Source organism: Homo sapiens, chromosome 4, assembly GCF_000001405.40.
Source record: "Homo sapiens chromosome 4, GRCh38.p14 Primary Assembly".
Taxonomy (NCBI): Eukaryota; Metazoa; Chordata; class Mammalia; order Primates; family Hominidae; genus Homo; species Homo sapiens.
Window position 1 is genome coordinate 186237974 of NC_000004.12, and position 17441 is coordinate 186255414.

Sequence of the window (17441 nt, forward strand, 5' to 3'; positions counted from 1 at the left end):
TGGTGTCATTTTTCCTGAAGTTCCGTTTGCCCCACACATAGGCCTTGCTTATAGAATGAGGGTTTAGTGTCACGGAGTCTCCTGCCTCATTCTCACCCTAACTTTTCCTTTACCCCTTTGCGAGGGGAAGGATGTCCATTAGGTTAATAATGCAGACCCCTAACCCACTCATTATCAGGGTCATTGTTTTTCCACTGTGCATTTTAATACTAACTGTTACCTGCACTGCTCCCTGCCCCTCAAAGTGCAGAAAGCAAAGTAACCTCTTTTCTTCCCATTCAGGAACAATTGCCTATTAAAGTACAGTCCCGGAGGAACACCTACCGCTATAAAGGTGCTGAGTAACGTGGAATCTGGATTCTCACTGAAGCCCTGTGCCCTTTCAGAAATTGGTAATTGTAGGACTACTTCACTTTGTGATTGTGGTAGGTGGAATAGGAGCCCCCAGAGACGTCCCTGTGCTGAGCCCTGGGACCTGTGCGTGTGTTCCCATAGCTGGCAAAAGCGTTTCTGTCAATGGCATGCAGTTACGGGCTTCGAGATGGGGAGTTTACTCTGGATTTTCTGAATGGGCCCAATGTACTCACAGGGTTGAGTGCTCACAAGGCTCATAAGAAAAAGAGAGAGGCGGAAGGCTCAGAGCCAGAGAGAGAGGTTTGAAGGTATTACACTGCTGGCTTTGAAGATGAAGGTCCGTGAGCCAAGGAATGCAGGCGGCCTCTAGAAGTTGAAAAGGGCGAGGAAAGAGTTTCCCTGTGGAGCGTCCTGGAGGAAGAAGCCCTGCTGATGTCTTGATTTTAGCCCAGTAAGACCCAATCTCTAGAACAGTAAGATAATTAATTTGTGTTGTTTTTAACCACTAAGTTTGTGGTTATGCCCCTAGAGCAGCAGTTATAGGAAACTAGTACAGTGATACTGTTAGAGTTATAGGACAGTGATATAGGACAGTGATACTGTTATAGTTATAGGAAACTAGTACAGTGATACTGTTAGAGTTATAGGACAGTGATATAGGACAGTGATATTGTTATAGTTATAGGAAACTAGTACAGTGATACTGTTAGAGTTATAGGTACAGTGATATTGTTATAGTTATAGGAAACTAGTACAGTGATACTGTTACAGGTACAGTGATATAGGACAGTGATACTGTTATAGGAAACTAGTACAGTGATACTGTTAGAGTTATAGGTACAGTGACATAGGACAGTGATACTGTTATAGTTATAGGAAACTAGTACAGTGATACTGTTAGAGTTATAGGTAGAGTGATATAGGACAGTGATACTGTTATAGTTATAGAAAACTAGTACAGTGATACTGTTATAGTTATAGGACAGTGATATAGGACAGTGATATTGTTATAGTTATAGGAAACTAGTACAGTGATACTGTTAGAGTTATAGGTACAGTGATATAGGACAGTGATATTGTTATAGTTATAGGAAACTAGTACAGTGATACTGTTAGAGTTATAGGTACAGTGATATTGTTATAGTTATAGGAAACTAGTACAGTGATACTGTTATAGGTACAGTGATATAGGACAGTGATACTGTTATAGGAAACTAGTACAGTGATACTGTTAGAGTTATAGGTACAGTGACATAGGACAGTGATACTGTTATAGTTATAGGAAACTAGTACAGTGATACTGTTAGAGTTATAGGTACAGTGATATAGGACAGTGATACTGTTATAGTTATAGGAAACTAGTACAGTGATACTGTTATAGTTATAGGACAGTGATATTGTTATAGTTATAGGAAACTAGTACAGTGATACTGTTAGAGTTATAGGTACAGTGATATAGGACAGTGATATTGTTATAGTTATAGGAAACTAGTACAGTGATACTGTTATAGTTATAGGACAGTGATATAGGACAGTGATATTGTTATAGTTATAGGAAACTAGTACGGTGATACTGTTATAGTTATAGGTACAGTGATATTGTTATAGTTATAGGAAACTAGTACAGTGATACTGTTAGAGTTATAGGTACAGTGATATAGGACAGTGATATTGTTATAGTTATAGGAAACTAGTACAGTGATACTGTTATAGTTGTAGGACAGTGATATTGTTATAGTTATAGGAAACTAGTACAGTGATACTGTTAGAGTTATAGGTACAGTGATATAGGACAGTGATACTGTTATAGTTATAGGACAGTGATATTCTTATAGTTACCGTGGTATAGTTATAGTTAAAGGTACAGTGATATTGTTATAGTTATAGGACAGTGATATTGTTATAGTTATAGGACAGTGATGTAGTTACAGTGATATAGGTACAGTGATATTGTTATAGTTATAGGACAGTGATATAGTTATAGGACAGTGATATTGTTACAGTTATAGGTACAGTGACGTTGTAATAGTTATAGGACAGTGATATTGTTATAGTTATAGGTACAGTGATGTTGTAGCAAAACTGTAAGGTCATTCCTTGGTTGTGTCCCTATCTAGTGAAATGACTCTACCAGGGGTAGGGAAATAAAACTCTGTCGTTTCACACATAAAGGTAATTTCAATGGAATTATCCAGAAAATTGCCATGACATTCCACCTCATTTAGCATGTCAGGATGTTAATGACAAGATGTTACTAAAAGCAAATCCCTTACGGCCAGTTTTCCGCAGTACTGGGTGCTGGCTCTGTGCCTGGCCCTGTATTGGGTGCTGGGCTAGGATTTCCCTGTGGAAGATTGGGAAGGTTGGTTACAAGGTGGCTATTTTCCTGTCTCCTCTTTGCGACAGCACACCTTCTCCATGGTGTGTGCCAGGTTCACGTGTACTGGTGATTTAATTTTAACGTTCATATTATTTTTTTCTGGGAGAGTTTTTGAAGGCTGCCAGGAGGCAGGACTCGATGCAAACATGCTCCATTCTGTACCCAGCCCTGTTGCTGGAAGGATTTGCTGCACTTACCCAGGGAACAGGCAAGCTCGTGCTGTGGCTCTGGGCTGTCACAGCTGCTGTCCACACCTGGGAGAGCACCCTGGATGGCTCATCTGTGTACTTGCTTTCTTGTTAAATTGCAGTGAGTTCACATGTGATTTAATCGGATCAAATGGCCTTTACAGACTGATAAAAATATGGCTGTTTCAGGTGGTGTTTTGAGCTGCTAAGGGCGTGGCTTTTCACTGAGTACGTGGTCCCCGTTCCTCAGGGAACACCCAGTAGCCACATGCCTCCTAAACCTAGAGTAGGGCTGTCTCCTGGCCTAACTGCCCAAATGAGATTCATAAGTTAGGGATGATCTGTAGTTATCACTACAGATTTGTCCTTGGTTTCACCAAGGATTTTCCTAATTTTACAAACAAAACCCCTAAGGCTCCTGGAAGGAGGGTAGAAGTGAAGGTGCTCCGGGGGCAACACAGCTGATGAGCTGAACCAGAACTCGACCCTTGGGTCACACACATTTCACAGTGCTCACTCCACCTTTTGTTTTTTTAATGGATTTAATGGTGTTTTAAAGCCTCCTGCCTCTCAACACATATGAATTCATTATATTTACAGATTTCCTTCTCTTGTGGTCCATCTTCCTGCATAGATCTTGAGAGATGTCAGGCTAACCACGTTTCCTCAGTTAATTTAACAAAACCATTTGCAACTCTGACATGGAAAATTCCTACCATGTGACTTATTAATTTATCAATTGAGATGGTACACATATTTTCAAGCCAAAAGGAGGAAAACATAAATTGGAAAAAAAAGGTTTTTTTATTTTTATCACCTCTGGGGAAGAAAGTCTGATAAACGAAGCTGGTTGATAAAATTGCAATTAGGGGAAGCAACATCATGGTTTCTGTTCGGAGGCTAACCAGATGGCATACTTGAAATAGAGAATGTCCTAGAAATCAACTGGTTGCTTGGCCAAAATATCTATAAATAGTGCCCAACATATTAGATAGGAAAAGCAAAGTAAAAACAATTTTAACAGGTTAGGACATTGGGCTGAAGTATTGCATATATTTAATGTCATGTGCGTCCGTGTGAAGAGACCACTAAACAGGCTTTGTGTGAGCAAGAAAGCTTTTTAATCACCTGGGTGCAGGCAGGCTGAGTCCGAAAAGAGAGTCAGTGAAGGGAGATGGGGTGGGGACGTTTTATAGGATTTGGGTAGGTAGTGGAAAATTACAGTCAAAGGGGGTTGTTCTCTGGCGGGCAGCGGTGGGGGGTCACAAGGTGCTCAGTGGGGGAGCTTCTGAGCCAGGAGAAGGAATTTCACAAGGTAACGTCATCAGTTAAGGCAGGAACCGGCCATTTTCACTTCTTTTGTCTTTCTTCAGTTACTTCAGGTCATCTAGATGTATACGTGCAGGCCTGGGCCCAGAGGCCTGACATTCCTGTCTTCTTATATTAATAAGAAAAAGAAAACGAAATAGTGGTAAAGTGTTGGGGTGGCGAAAGTTTTTGGGGGTGGTATGGAGAGATAATGGGCGATGTTTCTCAGGGCTGCTTCGAGCGGGATTAGGGGCGGCGTGGGAACCTACAGTGGGAGAGATGAAGCTGAAGGAATATTTTATGGTAAGGGGTGATATTGTGGGGTTGTTAGAAGCAGCATTTGTCATATAGAATGATTGGTGATGGCCTGGATATGGTTTTGTGTGAAATGAGAAACTAAATGGAAGACACAAGGTCTGAATAAGAGAAGGAGAAAAACAGGTGTTAAAGGACTAAGAATTGGGAGGACCCAGGACATCTAATTAGAGAGTGCCTAAGGGGGTTCAGTGTAATTACTTGCTTGGTTGGTGAGTTTTTGGGCTCTATCCTTGACAGAGTCCTCCTTTTTAAGTTGGAGGCTGAGCTTGGTGAGGTGTGTTTTTAAAAGACCATTAGTCTGTTCTACCTTTCCTGAAGATTGAGGATGGTGAGGGGTATGAAGGTTTTACTGAATACCAAGAGCCTGAGAAACTGCTTGGGTGATTTGACTAATAAAGGCCGGTCTGTTATCGGATTGTATAGAGATGGAAAGGCCAAACTGAGGAATTATGTCTGACAGAAGGGAAGAAATGACCACGGTGGCCTTCTCAGACCCTGTGGGAAAGGCCTCTACCCATCCAGTGAAAGTGTCTACCCAGACCAAGAGGTATTTTAGTTTCCTGACTCCGGGTATGTGAGTAAAGTCAATCTGCCAGTCCTGGGCGGGGGCAAATCCCCGAGCTTGATGTGTAGGGAAGGGAGGGGGCCTGAGCAATCCCTGAGGAGGAGTGGAGTAGCAGATGGAACACTGAGCAGTTATTTTTTGAGGATAGATTTTTACGACGGAAAGGAAAAGTGAGGTTTTAAGAGGTGGGTTAGTGGCTTGTAACTTACATGGAAGAGTTTATGAAATGATGACAGAATAGAATGGGCCTGTGAGGCTGGAGGAGATATTTTCCTTGGTCCAAGAATTATTTGCCTTGTGTGGGAAGAGATTGATAGGTGGAAGTTTCAATGGGGGAGTAGATGGGAGTGACAGATGAGGAAGAAAAAAACTGGCTGTGAGGGATAGAAGTTGGAATGCTCGCTGCTTTTTTAGCTACCTTATCAGCATAGGCATTGTCCTGAGCAGTGGGATCTGATGCCTTTTGGTGGCCCTTGCAGTGAATGGCTTCAGCTTCCTTTGGAAGTAAAGTGGCCTTGAGAGGAGTTTTTATTAAAGAGGCATTAAGATGGAGAACCCTTGTGTAGTGAGGAAACCTCCTTCAGCCCATATAACCGCATGGTGGTGCAGAATATGGAAGGCATATTTAGAGTCAGTATAAATATTGACACGTAGTCCCTTTGCAAGAGTGAGGGCCTGAGTTAAGGCAATGAGTTCAGCTTGCTGAGAGGTAGTGGAGCGGGGCAGAGCAGTAGCCTCAGTGATAGATGTGGAAGATACTACAGCATAGCCTGCCTTTGCTGGTGAGTGGTGATTAGGCCTGGTGGAACTGCCATCAATAAACCAAGTGTGATCAGGGTAAGGAACAGGAAAGAAGGAAATATGGGGAAATGGAGTGGATGTCAGGTGGATCAGAGAGATACAGTCATGGGGGTGGGGGCCAGCCTAAAACAGTAAGGTCAAGTTGTTTGAACAGAAAGGCTACAGGGCGTGGTCCTGGCTCTTGTGTAAGAATTTTGACTGCGCAGCCCTGCACTTCGGCTGTGTGTAATGAAAAGGGTTGGGATGAGTTAGGGAGAGCTAGTGTGGGAGCAGTTTCTAGGGCTGTTTTTAAGGAATGGCAAGAGGAGTGGCTAAAGGATTTAGGATCTTTGGGGTCAGCTAGCTTTGCTTTTGTGAGTTTATATAATGGTTTAGTCAGGATGGTAAAACTTAGTATCCAAAGGCGGAAGTACTTAACCATACCTAGGAAGAAAAGGAGTTGTTTTGTAGAAGGGGTTGGGGTTTGGGAGATGAGCCAGACACAATCAGCAGGGAGAGCACATGTGTTTTCATGAAGAATTATGCCGAGATAGGTAATGGATGAGGAAGAAATTTGGGCTTGACTGAAGTAATGGGGGCTGTCCTCGAAGCCTTGTGGCAGTACAGCCCAAGTAAGTTGCTGAGGCTGACGGGTGTCAGGGTCAGTCCAAGTGAAAGCGAAGAGAGGCTGGGATGAAGGGTGCAAAGGAATAGTAAAGAAAGCATGTTTGAGATCCAGAACAGAATAATGGGTTGTGGAGGGAGGTATTGAGGATAGGAGAGTATATGGCTTTGGTACCATGGGGTGAATAGGCAAGACAATTTGGTTAATGAGGCACAGATCCTGAACTAACCTGTAAGGCTTGTCCGGTTTTTGGACAGGTAAAATGGGGGAATTGTAAGGAGAGTTTATAGGCTTCAAAAGGCCACGCTGTAACAGGTGAGTGATAACAGGCTTTAATCCTTTTAAAGCATGCTGTGGGATGGGATATTGGCATTGAGCGGGGTAAGTGTGATTAGGTTTTAATGGGATGGTAAGGGGTGCACGATAGGTTGCCAAGGAGGGAGCAGAGGTGTCCTATACTTGTGGATTAAGGTGGGGACACACAAGGGGAGGATGTGAAGGAGGCTTTGAACTGGGGAAAGGGTGGCATTGAGGTGTGGCTGTGGCCTAAGAACAGTCAGGGAAGCGGATAATTGAGTTAAAATGCCTCGACCTAGTAAGGGAGCTGGGCAGGTGGTGATAACTAAAAAGGAGTGCATAAAAGAATGTTGTCCAAGTTGGCACCAGAGTTGGGGAGTTTTAAGAGGTTTAGAAGCCTGGCGGTCAATACCTACAACAGTTATGGAGGCAAGGGAAACAGGCCCTTGAAAAGAACGTAATGTGGAGTGGGTAGCCTCTGTATTAATTAAGAAGGGGATGGATTTACCCTCCACTGTAAGAGTTACCTAAAGCATCTGTGATGGTCCAGGAGGCTTCTAAGGTGATCGGGCAGCGTCAGTCTTCAGCCGCTAAGCCAAGAAGATCTGGGAAGCAGTCAGTCAGAGAGCCTTGGGCCAGAGTTCCAGGGGCTCTGGGAGTGGCAGCCAGGCCAGTTAGACAGTCCGATTTCTAGTGGGGTCCCACACAGATGAGACACAGCTTAGGAGGAATCCCAGGCTGCGGGCATTCCTTGGCCCATTGGCCAGATTTCTGGCACTTGAAACAAGATCCTGATGGAGGAGGTCCTGTAGGAATGCTTGACCACTGCAGTTTAGGCATTTTGAAGTTTTTGTGTGTGCTGGAGATGTGGCTGGGTTTTGTCTCACAGCAGAGGCAAGGAATCGCAACTCAGAAATACATTGCTACTTGGCTGCCTCTATTATTGTACATCTTGAAGGCGAGGTTAATTAAGTCCTCTTGTGGGGTTTGAGGGCTGGAATCTAATTTTTGGAGTTTTTTTTTGTTTGTTTTTTGGTTTTTTTTTTTTAATGTCAGGAGCTGACTGGGTGATAAAATGCATATTGAGAATAAGAGGCCTTCTGACCCTTCTGGGTCTAGGGCTGTAAAGCGTCTCAGGGTTGCTGCCAAACGGGCCATGAACTGGGCTGGGTTTTTCATATTTGATGAAAAAGAGCCTAAACGCTAACTGATTTGGGAGAGGTCGGATAAATAAAAAGGAACATTAATCTTGACTATGCCTTTAGCTCCAACCACCTCTTTAAGAGGAAATTGTTGGGCAGGTGGGGGAGGGCTAGTCGTGGAATGAAACTGTAAGCTGGACCGGGTGTGAGGAGGGGAGGTGATAGAAGGATTATAGGGTGGAGGAGCAGAGGCTGAGGAAGAATTGGGATCTGGCTTGGCCTGGCAAGGAGCAGCCTGGGGAGGAGGGGAGAGGTCAGATGGGTCCATAGAAAAGGAGGATTGGAAAGACTCAGCAACACTTGGGGTTGGGATTGAGAGGACAGATGGGTTGGGATTGAGGGGACAGATGGGAGGGAAAGAAGGAAGATTTGGGACAAGTTGCATTGGGAACAGAGACTAGGGAGGGACCAATGTGTAAAAGAATGCCTGGACGTCAGGCACCTCAGACCGTTTGCCCATTTTATGACAAGAATTATCTAGATCTTGTAGGATGGAAAAATCGAAAGTGCCGTTTTCTGGCTATTTGGAACCATTGTCGAGTTTGTATTGGGGTTAAGCAGCATTGCAGAAGAAAATAAGGCATTTAGGTTTTAGGTCAGGTGTGAGTTGAAGAGGTTTTAAGTTCTTGAGAACATAGGCTAAGGGAGAAGAAGGAGGAATGGAGGGTGGAAAGTTGCCTATAGTGAAGGAGGCAAGCCCAGAGAAAAGAGAGGGTAGAGACATGGAGAGAAGGGGTGGGGGGGTGCTTGCCCCCAGGAAAGTGGTTCTTGCCACTAAGGGTGAAGGATCAAGGCAGGCATTCGCGCGGTGATCAGATACCTCTGAAACGTGGGTGAATAATCAAGCAGGTGTCCCTGCAGTGATTAAACAGCAAGGAAAGACTATCTTCCCAAGTCCATGACCAGTGCCAGAGTTTTGGGTTCATGGATAAAACGCGTCTCCTCTGTCTCTACCAGAAAATGAAAGGAATTGAAATTAAGAGAAGGGAGAGATTGAAGGATGGCGCCAAGATTGAAAGGAAAAAGAGGTTGAGGGATAGGGAGAGAGGTTGGATAAGAGAGTAAAAAGAGGCTGCTTACCCAATTTAAAATCGGTGAGATGTTCCTTGGGCTTGTTGGTCTGAGGACCAGAGGTCATGGGTGGATCTTTCTCATGGAGCAAAGAGCAGGGGGACAGGGGATTGATTTCCCAAGGGAGGTCCCCTGATCTGAGTCACAGCACCAAATATCACGTGTGTCCATGCGAAGAGACCACCAAACAGGCTTTGTGTGAGCAAGAAAGCTTTTTAATCACCTGGGTGCAGGCGGGCTGAGTCCAAAAAGAGAGTCAGTGAAGGGAGATAGGGGTGGGGACGTTTTATAGGATTTGGGTAGGTAGTGGAAAATTACAGTCAAAGGGGGTTGTTCTCTGGCGGGCAGGGGTGGGGGGTCACAAGGTGCTCAGTGGGGGAGCTTCTGAGCCAGGAGAAGGAATTTCACAAGGTAACGTCATCAGTTAAGGCAGGAACCGGCCATTTTCACTTCTTTTGTCATTCTTCAGTTACTTCAGGCCATCTGGATGTATGCATGTAGGCTTGGGCCCAGAGGCCTGACATTTAACATGGATAAATGTAAAGTTCTTAGAATCATACATACACTTTGGAAAAGATGGGGCTTAATCGCACTTTATAAGACTTGAAGGATGTTTGAGAATCACTATGAAACTGCTGAAAATACCAAGAAAATTTAATTCTTATGTATATAAATAATGTGTCTGTTTTACATGAATCCCTTCTACAAGCTTGGTATTTAATATGGCATATATTGTTTTTTCATAGTAGATTTAAAATTTTTGATATCTAATTTAGATAACATAAAATTAACCCTTTGAAAGTGTACAACTCCGTGGTTTTTAGTATATCCACCTGATTGCACAACGATCACCACTGTCTAGTTCCAGAACATTTTTATCACCACAAAAGAAAGGCTGTATCCAGGCCGGGCACGGTGGCTCACGCCTGTAATCCCAGCACTTTGGGAGGCCGAGGCGGGCGGATCACGGGGTCAGGAGATTGAAACCATCCTGGGTAACACGGTGAAGCCCTATCTGTACTAAAGATACAAAAAAATTAGCTGGGCATGATGGCAGATGCCTGTAGTCCCAGCTACTCAGGAGGCTGAGGCAGGAGAATGGCCTGAACCCAGGAAGCGGAGCTTGCAGTGAGCCAAGATTGCGCCACTGCACTCCAGCCTGGGCGACAGAGCAAGACTCCATCTCACAAAAAAATAATAAAAATAAAATAAAAAAAAAAAAGAAAGGCTGTCTTTCTCCTTTCCCATTGGCCGTCTTTCTCCATTCCCTACTCCTCCAATCCCCTGGCAACCACTAAATCTACTTTCCATGTCTGTGGACTTGACTCTTCGGGACATTTTACATAAATGGAATCATGCAATGCAGCACATTTTGCATCTGGCTTTTTTCACCTGGCGTGTTTTCAAGGCTCATTCGTATTCTAGCATATATCAATACTTTGTTCCTATTTAGGACTAAATAAGATTCTATTGTATGAATAAAACATATTTTGTTTATATACTTAGTTTGATGAACATTTGAGTTGTTTCTGGATTTTTTTTTTTTTTTTTTTGCCTCTTATGAATAATGCTGCTATGGACAACAGTTTTTGGGTAGGCATGCATTTTAAATTCTCTTATGTATATACTTAGGATTAAAATTGCTGGATCACAGAGTAACTCCATGTTTAACTTTTTGATGAATTGCCAAACTGTTTTTGAGAGCAGCTACACAATGTTACATTCTTACCAGCAACAATTGAGGGCTTCAGTCTCTCTACAACCTTAACAACACTTGTTATTGTCTTTGTAATTATTGCCTTTCTAGGCAGTGTGAAGTGGTGTCTCACTGTGGTTTTGATATGCATTTCCCTAATGACTAACAATGTTGTGTATCTTTTCGTGTGCTCATTTTCAATTTGAATACATTCTTTGGGAAAATCTCTGTTTAAATCTTTTGGCCATTAAAAATAATTGGGTTATTTTCATTGTTGAGTTGTATGAACTCTTTATATACTCTGGATACTACACTCTTATGACATATATTATTTTCAAAAATTTTCTGTGCATCTGCAGGTCATCTTTTCACTTTACTGATGGTGTTCTTTGAAGCACCAAAGTTTTTAAACTTGATGAAATCCAGTCTGGCTTTATTCTTGCACGTGCTTTACCTAAAACGCCAAAACCTAATTCATGGTTTTGAAGATTTTTGCTTATGATTTGTTCTTAGAGGTTTATAGTTTTAGCTCTTACATTTAGGCATTTGATGCATTTTAAATTAAATTTTGTATATGGTGTAAAGTAGCAATCCAACTTAATTCTTGCATGTGGGTATTCAGTTATTCCATTGTCTTGAAACCCTTTTCAAAATCAATTGTCTATAAATGTAAGAGTTTATTTTTGGACCATCAGTTCTATCCTGTTGACCTATATATGCCTATCCTAATGCCAGTTACACACAGTCTTGATTACCATAACTTTGCAGTAAGTTTTGAACTCAGACAGTCTGAGTGCTTTTATTTTGTCCTTTTTCAAGATTAATTTGGTTATTCCGGATCTTTTGCATTTCCATATGAATTTTAGGATGGTTGTCAATTTCTGCAATAGAAAAGCAGCAGGATTTTGATAGAGAGTGCATTGAATCTGTAGACCAATGAGTATCAATGGAATTATGTGTTATCAAATTTAGTAAACTACATAAACGATATGTACACAACTAAAACAAAACTAAGATATAAGATCATATTAATGTAATGATAATAAAAGTGGATTGTCTCCTGTTCTAATTTTAATAGGCACAAGGCATTTTTGTTAATCACTTCTTATTAAAGAATTTTTTATAATATTCAGGAAAATACAACAAAAAAACCCTTACATTCCTAAGGCCTCAGAGTCAGAGTAATATAAAGGAAATGTAAACACATGCTGAGTAATGCAAGCATTTGGCAATGGTGGTGACTGGAGCTGGGAGCACAGCTTTTATTTCTCTGAAATAGGAATTTGCCCCTTAGAGTTAGACCAATTTTGCCTTCCTCTAAATGGCAAACAGTTTGGAGATACTTTAAAGGACATTTTTTCACTTAGGATGTTTAGTACTATGAATAATAAATAGTCACAATTTCCTTAACTATGGTGACAAAATACAAGCAAATTTAGCCTCATGTCATTTCCTAAGGAACATCTTCTCTCTGTGAGTTCACAGGTTGCCACATGAACATCTTCCAGCATCTTGCGTTCTCAGATGTGGATGTTGCCAGGGTTCTCACTCCAGATGCTTTTGTGTGTCGGACCATCTGCACCTATCACCCCAACTGCCTCTTCTTTACATTCTATACAAATGTATGGAAAATCGAGTCACAAAGGCGAGTATGCATGGAAAATCGCATCACAAAGGCGAGTATGCATGGGGAGCACTTGCTGCTGTACTTTCATCACTTTTATAGTCTGAGTTCTTAAAAGTTTCGTTCATTTCCCTCAAAACACTTGAACCTGCAGTTTCAGTAGGTACTGTTCTGCCAGGTGCAGATTAGTTAAGAGATTAGCAGACTTCTCTGCCTATCTTCTCTTACTTTAAAACAAATGTTACCATTGAATCAAGGAAGCAATAGCCATGAGAAAAAAGAAGGATCTGACGCCTTTGAATGAAGATTCAAAACATGATCTTCATGTTTTGTATTAGCTTGGAGTAAAATCCACTTGCTGGCAATATAGCCCTTAAGCTTGTTGCCTCTTCTCTTTGTTTCAGAAACTAGAGCCCTGTTTATTCTGATCAAGGCTCTGGCCCACTGTCTTTATCTCAGATAACCCACCCTCTTCTGCACACAGCATGGAGCTAAGAGAAGGGTGTCTAGTTATGTAATATCATCGGCAGCATAAATTCCCAGAATTTGTTCTTTGATTTTTTTGTTTGTTTTTCCAGTTAGAAGGTGGAACTTCATCATTGTCCTCTTTTCAGGTTGTCTGTGCCTATTAGTTTTCTCCAGAGGGAGAGGTGGCTTGATTTACATTTAATCTCTGCAATTTATTAGAGTCCTGTAGTTGGATTTACTTTGAAGAGAGTTTCCCAGAAGAATAAAATTTGCTGCGTTGCTTTTTGGGTGTGAGCTGCTTTTGTATTTGCCTAATGCCTTTAATGCAAATTTCTTTCTTTCTCTCTTGCTTTTTTTTAAAAAAAATAGAAATGTTTGTCTTCTTAAAACATCTGAAAGTGGCACACCAAGTTCCTCTACTCCTCAAGAAAACACCATATCTGGATATAGCCTTTTAACCTGCAAAAGAACTTTACCTGGTAATGTGATTTGATAATAATATTACATAAAATGTAACCTATTTCATGACTTTTAACAGCAACAGTGATGAAACAATCCTCAAGGTAACAGAAACTTGTGTAAATGTCGTTCATTGCTTTTCCCATCTGATATCTTTTTGTGTTTATAATTGACACAGAACCCTGCCATTCTAAAATTTACCCGGGAGTTGACTTTGGAGGAGAAGAATTGAATGTGACTTTTGTTAAAGGAGTGAATGTTTGCCAAGAGACTTGCACAAAGATGATTCGCTGTCAGTTTTTCACTTATTCTTTACTCCCAGAAGACTGTAAGGAAGAGAAGTAAAGGAAATTTTATTTTTCAAAGACAGTTGACATGACCATTTCATATTCTCTTTCCCCCTGTGAAGGCTTACTCTTTCTACTGTTCATTTCATCTAGGTGTAAGTGTTTCTTAAGATTATCTATGGATGGTTCTCCAACTAGGATTGCGTATGGGACACAAGGGAGCTCTGGTTACTCTTTGAGATTGTGTAACACTGGGGACAACTCTGGTGAGTAACCTCACTTTTTCGTGGACCTGTCAGGGATGTCTGTCATGTTGATAGTTTGCTTAGTCTTAAGGAATTATGTGTCTTGTTCTCCTTGGTTAGAAGGGACTTTGATTCACTTCTAATTCCAACCATTAGCGTCAACGCTCTCTTTTCAGTCTGCACAACAAAAACAAGCACACGCATTGTTGGAGGAACAAACTCTTCTTGGGGAGAGTGGCCCTGGCAGGTGAGCCTGCAGGTGAAGCTGACAGCTCAGAGGCACCTGTGTGGAGGGTCACTCATAGGACACCAGTGGGTCCTCACTGCTGCCCACTGCTTTGATGGGTAAGTGTTGGATGCATCTCATCCAGAGTCTTATCTTGGCTTTTCATTTTGAAGGATCTATGATCAGCTGCTTCACCGCCATGTGACTTTATGAATAGAGACGTGTTAAAGCGGGGATGGTATTCACAACATTTAACTTATAGGGTCCAAGCACTGACCAACCTGACCATTAGAACAGAGTGTGGTCTCTGTACAGGGCAGATGGCGCTGAGTGGGTATTCTCCACAGAAAGAGAAACGAAGACAGTACCCCACTCCTCCAACCCACCACCCACCACCAATCCCACCACCAATTCCACCACCAATCCTGCCACCCACCACCAATCTCACCACCAATCCCACCACCAATCCTACCACCCACCATCAATCTCAGCACCAATCCCACCACCAATCCCACCACCAATCCCACCACCTACCCCACCACCAATCCCGCCACCCACGACCAATCCCACCACCGATCCCGCCACCAATCCCACCACCAATCCCACCACCTACCCCACCACCAATCCCGCCACCCACGACCAATCCCACCACCGATCCCGCCACCAACCACCAATCCCACCACCAATCCCACCACCAATCCCTGATGTGTTCTTCAAAGACTTATTTGTCAGGCCCATAGAAATGTTACTTCTTGCTCTTTGATTCATAAATATACTAAGTCATAATAATTTTTAAAAGTGAGAGTTTCGTACTCTGTATATTTCAATGTATATAATTTGATCTATTTCAATTTATTGGTCAAATAGTAGACATGTTAGGTAAGTCTTAAAATACTGAGGCTTTGGAGTTAGACAGAACATGGCTTAAGTGACAGCTTTGCTGCTTATTAGAGGTGTGGCCCTAGAAGATTTGTAAATCCCTCTGAGCTTTATTTGATCTAAAATATGAATAGTAATAGTCCCGAATTTGTAACGTTGTTGGGAAGATTAAGTGACACATTTAAAATGCTTAGTACTGTGTGTAGAACATAAACACTTCAAAAAATGTAAACTGTGATTTCTATATTCAATAAGAAATGTAGAAATGGACAAAGCATATAAAAAGCAAAAGAAATACTAGAAGACACTTGATTTTTCTCAAAAATAAACACACCAAGTATTTTTGTTTTAGTGAAATTCATGCTTACATGCTGTATACTAGGATTGAACATACTGCCACCAAAATATAGCAGTCGGTGGTACATGTGGGTGGAGCAAGACCCCTCCACCTTGTCATCGTGTGAAGGGGCTCTGCCATACATGACCTTGCATGTGACTTTAAGGTGGTTGGCCTGGAAGAAAAGTCCCAAGATGGGAAATAGTAGGTGTCTTTTTTACTAAATGCACTCCAATTTGGGACCAAAAATTTTCATTCTTGAAGGCTCAGTATTGTGAGTTTATAAGAGATAATAGACATAAAAGTGTAATGATTTCATTGCAAATAAAAAAAGGCCCCTTTGCACCTGATATCTCCATCATTTTTCTAGAATTTTGTGCACACATGCCTTGCACTACTTGGTGATGATAAAGATTTCCAGATCTTTGCACAGAATAAGGCTTTGCTTTAGATCAGAATTTTGGATGTACTTAGTATACATTCATCTTTTAAATAATCTATTTACATTTTCATACTTTCCAAAATACAGATATATTTTATTTTATTTATATATTTATTTAATTTATTTTTTGAGATGGAGTCTCTCTCTGTTGCCCAGAGTAGAGTGCAGTGGCACAATCTTGGTTCACTGCAGCCTCTGCCTCCCGGGTTCAAGCGATTCTCCTGCCTCAGCCTCCTGAGTAGCTGGGATTACAGGCGCGCGCCACACCTGGCTAATTTTTGTATTTTTAGTAGAGACGAGGTTTCATCATGTTGGTCAGGCTGGTCTCGAACTCCTGGCCTCAAGGGATCCACCCACCTCGGCCTCCCGAAGTGCTGGGATTACAGGTGTGGGCCACTGTGCCCAGCTGTATAGAGATATTTTAAACAACACTAAAGTCCTCCTACTTTGACTAATTAGAAGAGCATTAGAAGATCAGCCTGACTTCTTGACAGTTCTGAATTTAGTGGAGCAATGAGGTTCAGCTTTGGTGAATGAGCTTAATTTTTCCATGATAAACTGCTAGTTTCTTCCCACTACAGTGTCTCTCAAAAATGGGACAGCAACATTCTTTTTGTTTTCACTTGCAGTAAGCATGATGCAATTACATAAATGTACACTTTTCAATTTGTTAAATAGAATCTTCAGAGATTCACTACTGCCGCTATTGGTGATGAAAAATTACCAGAAGGAGGAATTAGGTAGGAGAAAATGTGTCCTATGTATTTCCTTCCCAGTTCTTTGAAAGAGAGTGATAGGAAAAAGGAACACTATTGAAGGAAGGACTGCCCAGTTTCAAACAGGTATTTATTTTTCTCTCCTAGGCTTCCCCTGCAGGATGTTTGGCGCATCTATAGTGGCATTTTAAATCTGTCAGACATTACAAAAGATACACCTTTCTCACAAATAAAAGAGATTATTATTCACCAAAACTATAAAGTCTCAGAAGGGAATCATGATATCGCCTTGATAAAACTCCAGGCTCCTTTGAATTACACTGGTATGTAGCATATGTAAGAAGGTGGAGAGCAGAATTGCGCTGGTTGATATTTTCATATCAGTTTGAACAAGAGGGCAGACCTAGAGAGACTGTCGTCGTTTTCTGACTGGTGGAGTTGAGGGAAACGTGAGGGTTGCTGGGAAGTGAAGACCCCGCGACTTGCCGTGAAATCTCTTCTACTTAAAGAGCAAGACATGTGAATTAATTCTTTCAGGGAGGGATACAACTGCATGCAGGTGATGGAAATAATGGGCGTGGGAAATGTCTGTGCCGTCTGAGAGGCACTGGGCTTGCTTTGACAAGAGTAGCAGAACTGTCATTGCTTTGGGCTTAGGGATATTCGAATGTGTGAGGGCAAGTGGGATCAGATATCTACTTCCAGGTATAATTTGGGTAGGAAAGAGACTCATGCAGAAAGAAGCCCTGGAAGGCCAGAGCATCGTGGTCAGAGGTGTTGCCTTTGGAGGGTCATTGCTGCCAGGAGCCGAATACCCACTGTATCCAATAACATTCATGGTCAGGAATGGTGGCTCACACCTGTAATCCCAACACTTTGGGATGCCCAGGTGGGAGGATTGCTTGAGGCCAGGAGTTTGAGACCAGCCTGGGCAACACAGTGAGACCCCGTCTCTACATAAAATTAGAAAAAAA

General features: G+C 42.0%; 1 protein-coding gene and 1 long non-coding RNA gene across 10 annotated transcripts in view, besides 4 other annotated features; both read left to right on the forward strand.

Annotated features, from left to right (window-relative positions):
• The window catches only part of KLKB1 (kallikrein B1), a 47619-nt gene that overhangs the window by 27121 nt on the left and 3057 nt on the right, over positions 1 to 17441 (forward strand). For 4 of the 9 annotated variants that reach the window (XM_047415661.1, NM_000892.5, NM_001440521.1 and 1 more), the window contains 7 exons: positions 283 to 392; positions 12270 to 12429; positions 13246 to 13355; positions 13514 to 13676; positions 13776 to 13888; positions 14044 to 14212; positions 16615 to 16790. In XM_047415661.1, coding sequence (XP_047271617.1) covers positions 283 to 392; positions 12270 to 12429; positions 13246 to 13355; positions 13514 to 13676; positions 13776 to 13888; positions 14044 to 14212; positions 16615 to 16790 — 1001 coding nt within the window. Of the gene's footprint in view, positions 1 to 282; positions 426 to 12269; positions 12461 to 13245; positions 13356 to 13513; positions 13677 to 13775; positions 13889 to 14043; positions 14213 to 16614; positions 16791 to 17441 lie in introns of those variants that run through there. The other 5 variants (XM_017008181.2, XM_011531930.3, XM_017008182.2 and 2 more) reach the window with 3 other exon arrangements.
• Positions 432 to 2521, forward strand: LOC124900873 (uncharacterized). Its single transcript, XR_007058497.1, has 2 exons — positions 432 to 1072; positions 1192 to 2521. It is a non-coding gene; the product is annotated as an uncharacterized LOC124900873 (long non-coding RNA).
• Positions 3132 to 3737: an enhancer, noted in NCBI's record as "NANOG-H3K27ac hESC enhancer chr4:187162259-187162864 (GRCh37/hg19 assembly coordinates)". NCBI's record gives its function as "activates a minimal SCP1, AML or CMV promoter by ChIP-STARR-seq in naive H9 embryonic stem cells {active_cell/tissue: H9 hESC(naive)}" and the evidence as "EXISTENCE:reporter gene assay evidence [ECO:0000049][PMID:30033119]".
• Positions 5326 to 5854: an enhancer, noted in NCBI's record as "NANOG-H3K27ac hESC enhancer chr4:187164453-187164981 (GRCh37/hg19 assembly coordinates)". NCBI's record gives its function as "activates a minimal SCP1, AML or CMV promoter by ChIP-STARR-seq in naive H9 embryonic stem cells {active_cell/tissue: H9 hESC(naive)}" and the evidence as "EXISTENCE:reporter gene assay evidence [ECO:0000049][PMID:30033119]".
• Positions 5855 to 6382: an enhancer, noted in NCBI's record as "H3K27ac hESC enhancer chr4:187164982-187165509 (GRCh37/hg19 assembly coordinates)". NCBI's record gives its function as "activates a minimal SCP1, AML or CMV promoter by ChIP-STARR-seq in naive H9 embryonic stem cells {active_cell/tissue: H9 hESC(naive)}" and the evidence as "EXISTENCE:reporter gene assay evidence [ECO:0000049][PMID:30033119]".
• Positions 11837 to 12581: an enhancer, noted in NCBI's record as "OCT4-NANOG-H3K27ac hESC enhancer chr4:187170964-187171708 (GRCh37/hg19 assembly coordinates)". NCBI's record gives its function as "activates a minimal SCP1, AML or CMV promoter by ChIP-STARR-seq in naive H9 embryonic stem cells {active_cell/tissue: H9 hESC(naive)}" and the evidence as "EXISTENCE:reporter gene assay evidence [ECO:0000049][PMID:30033119]".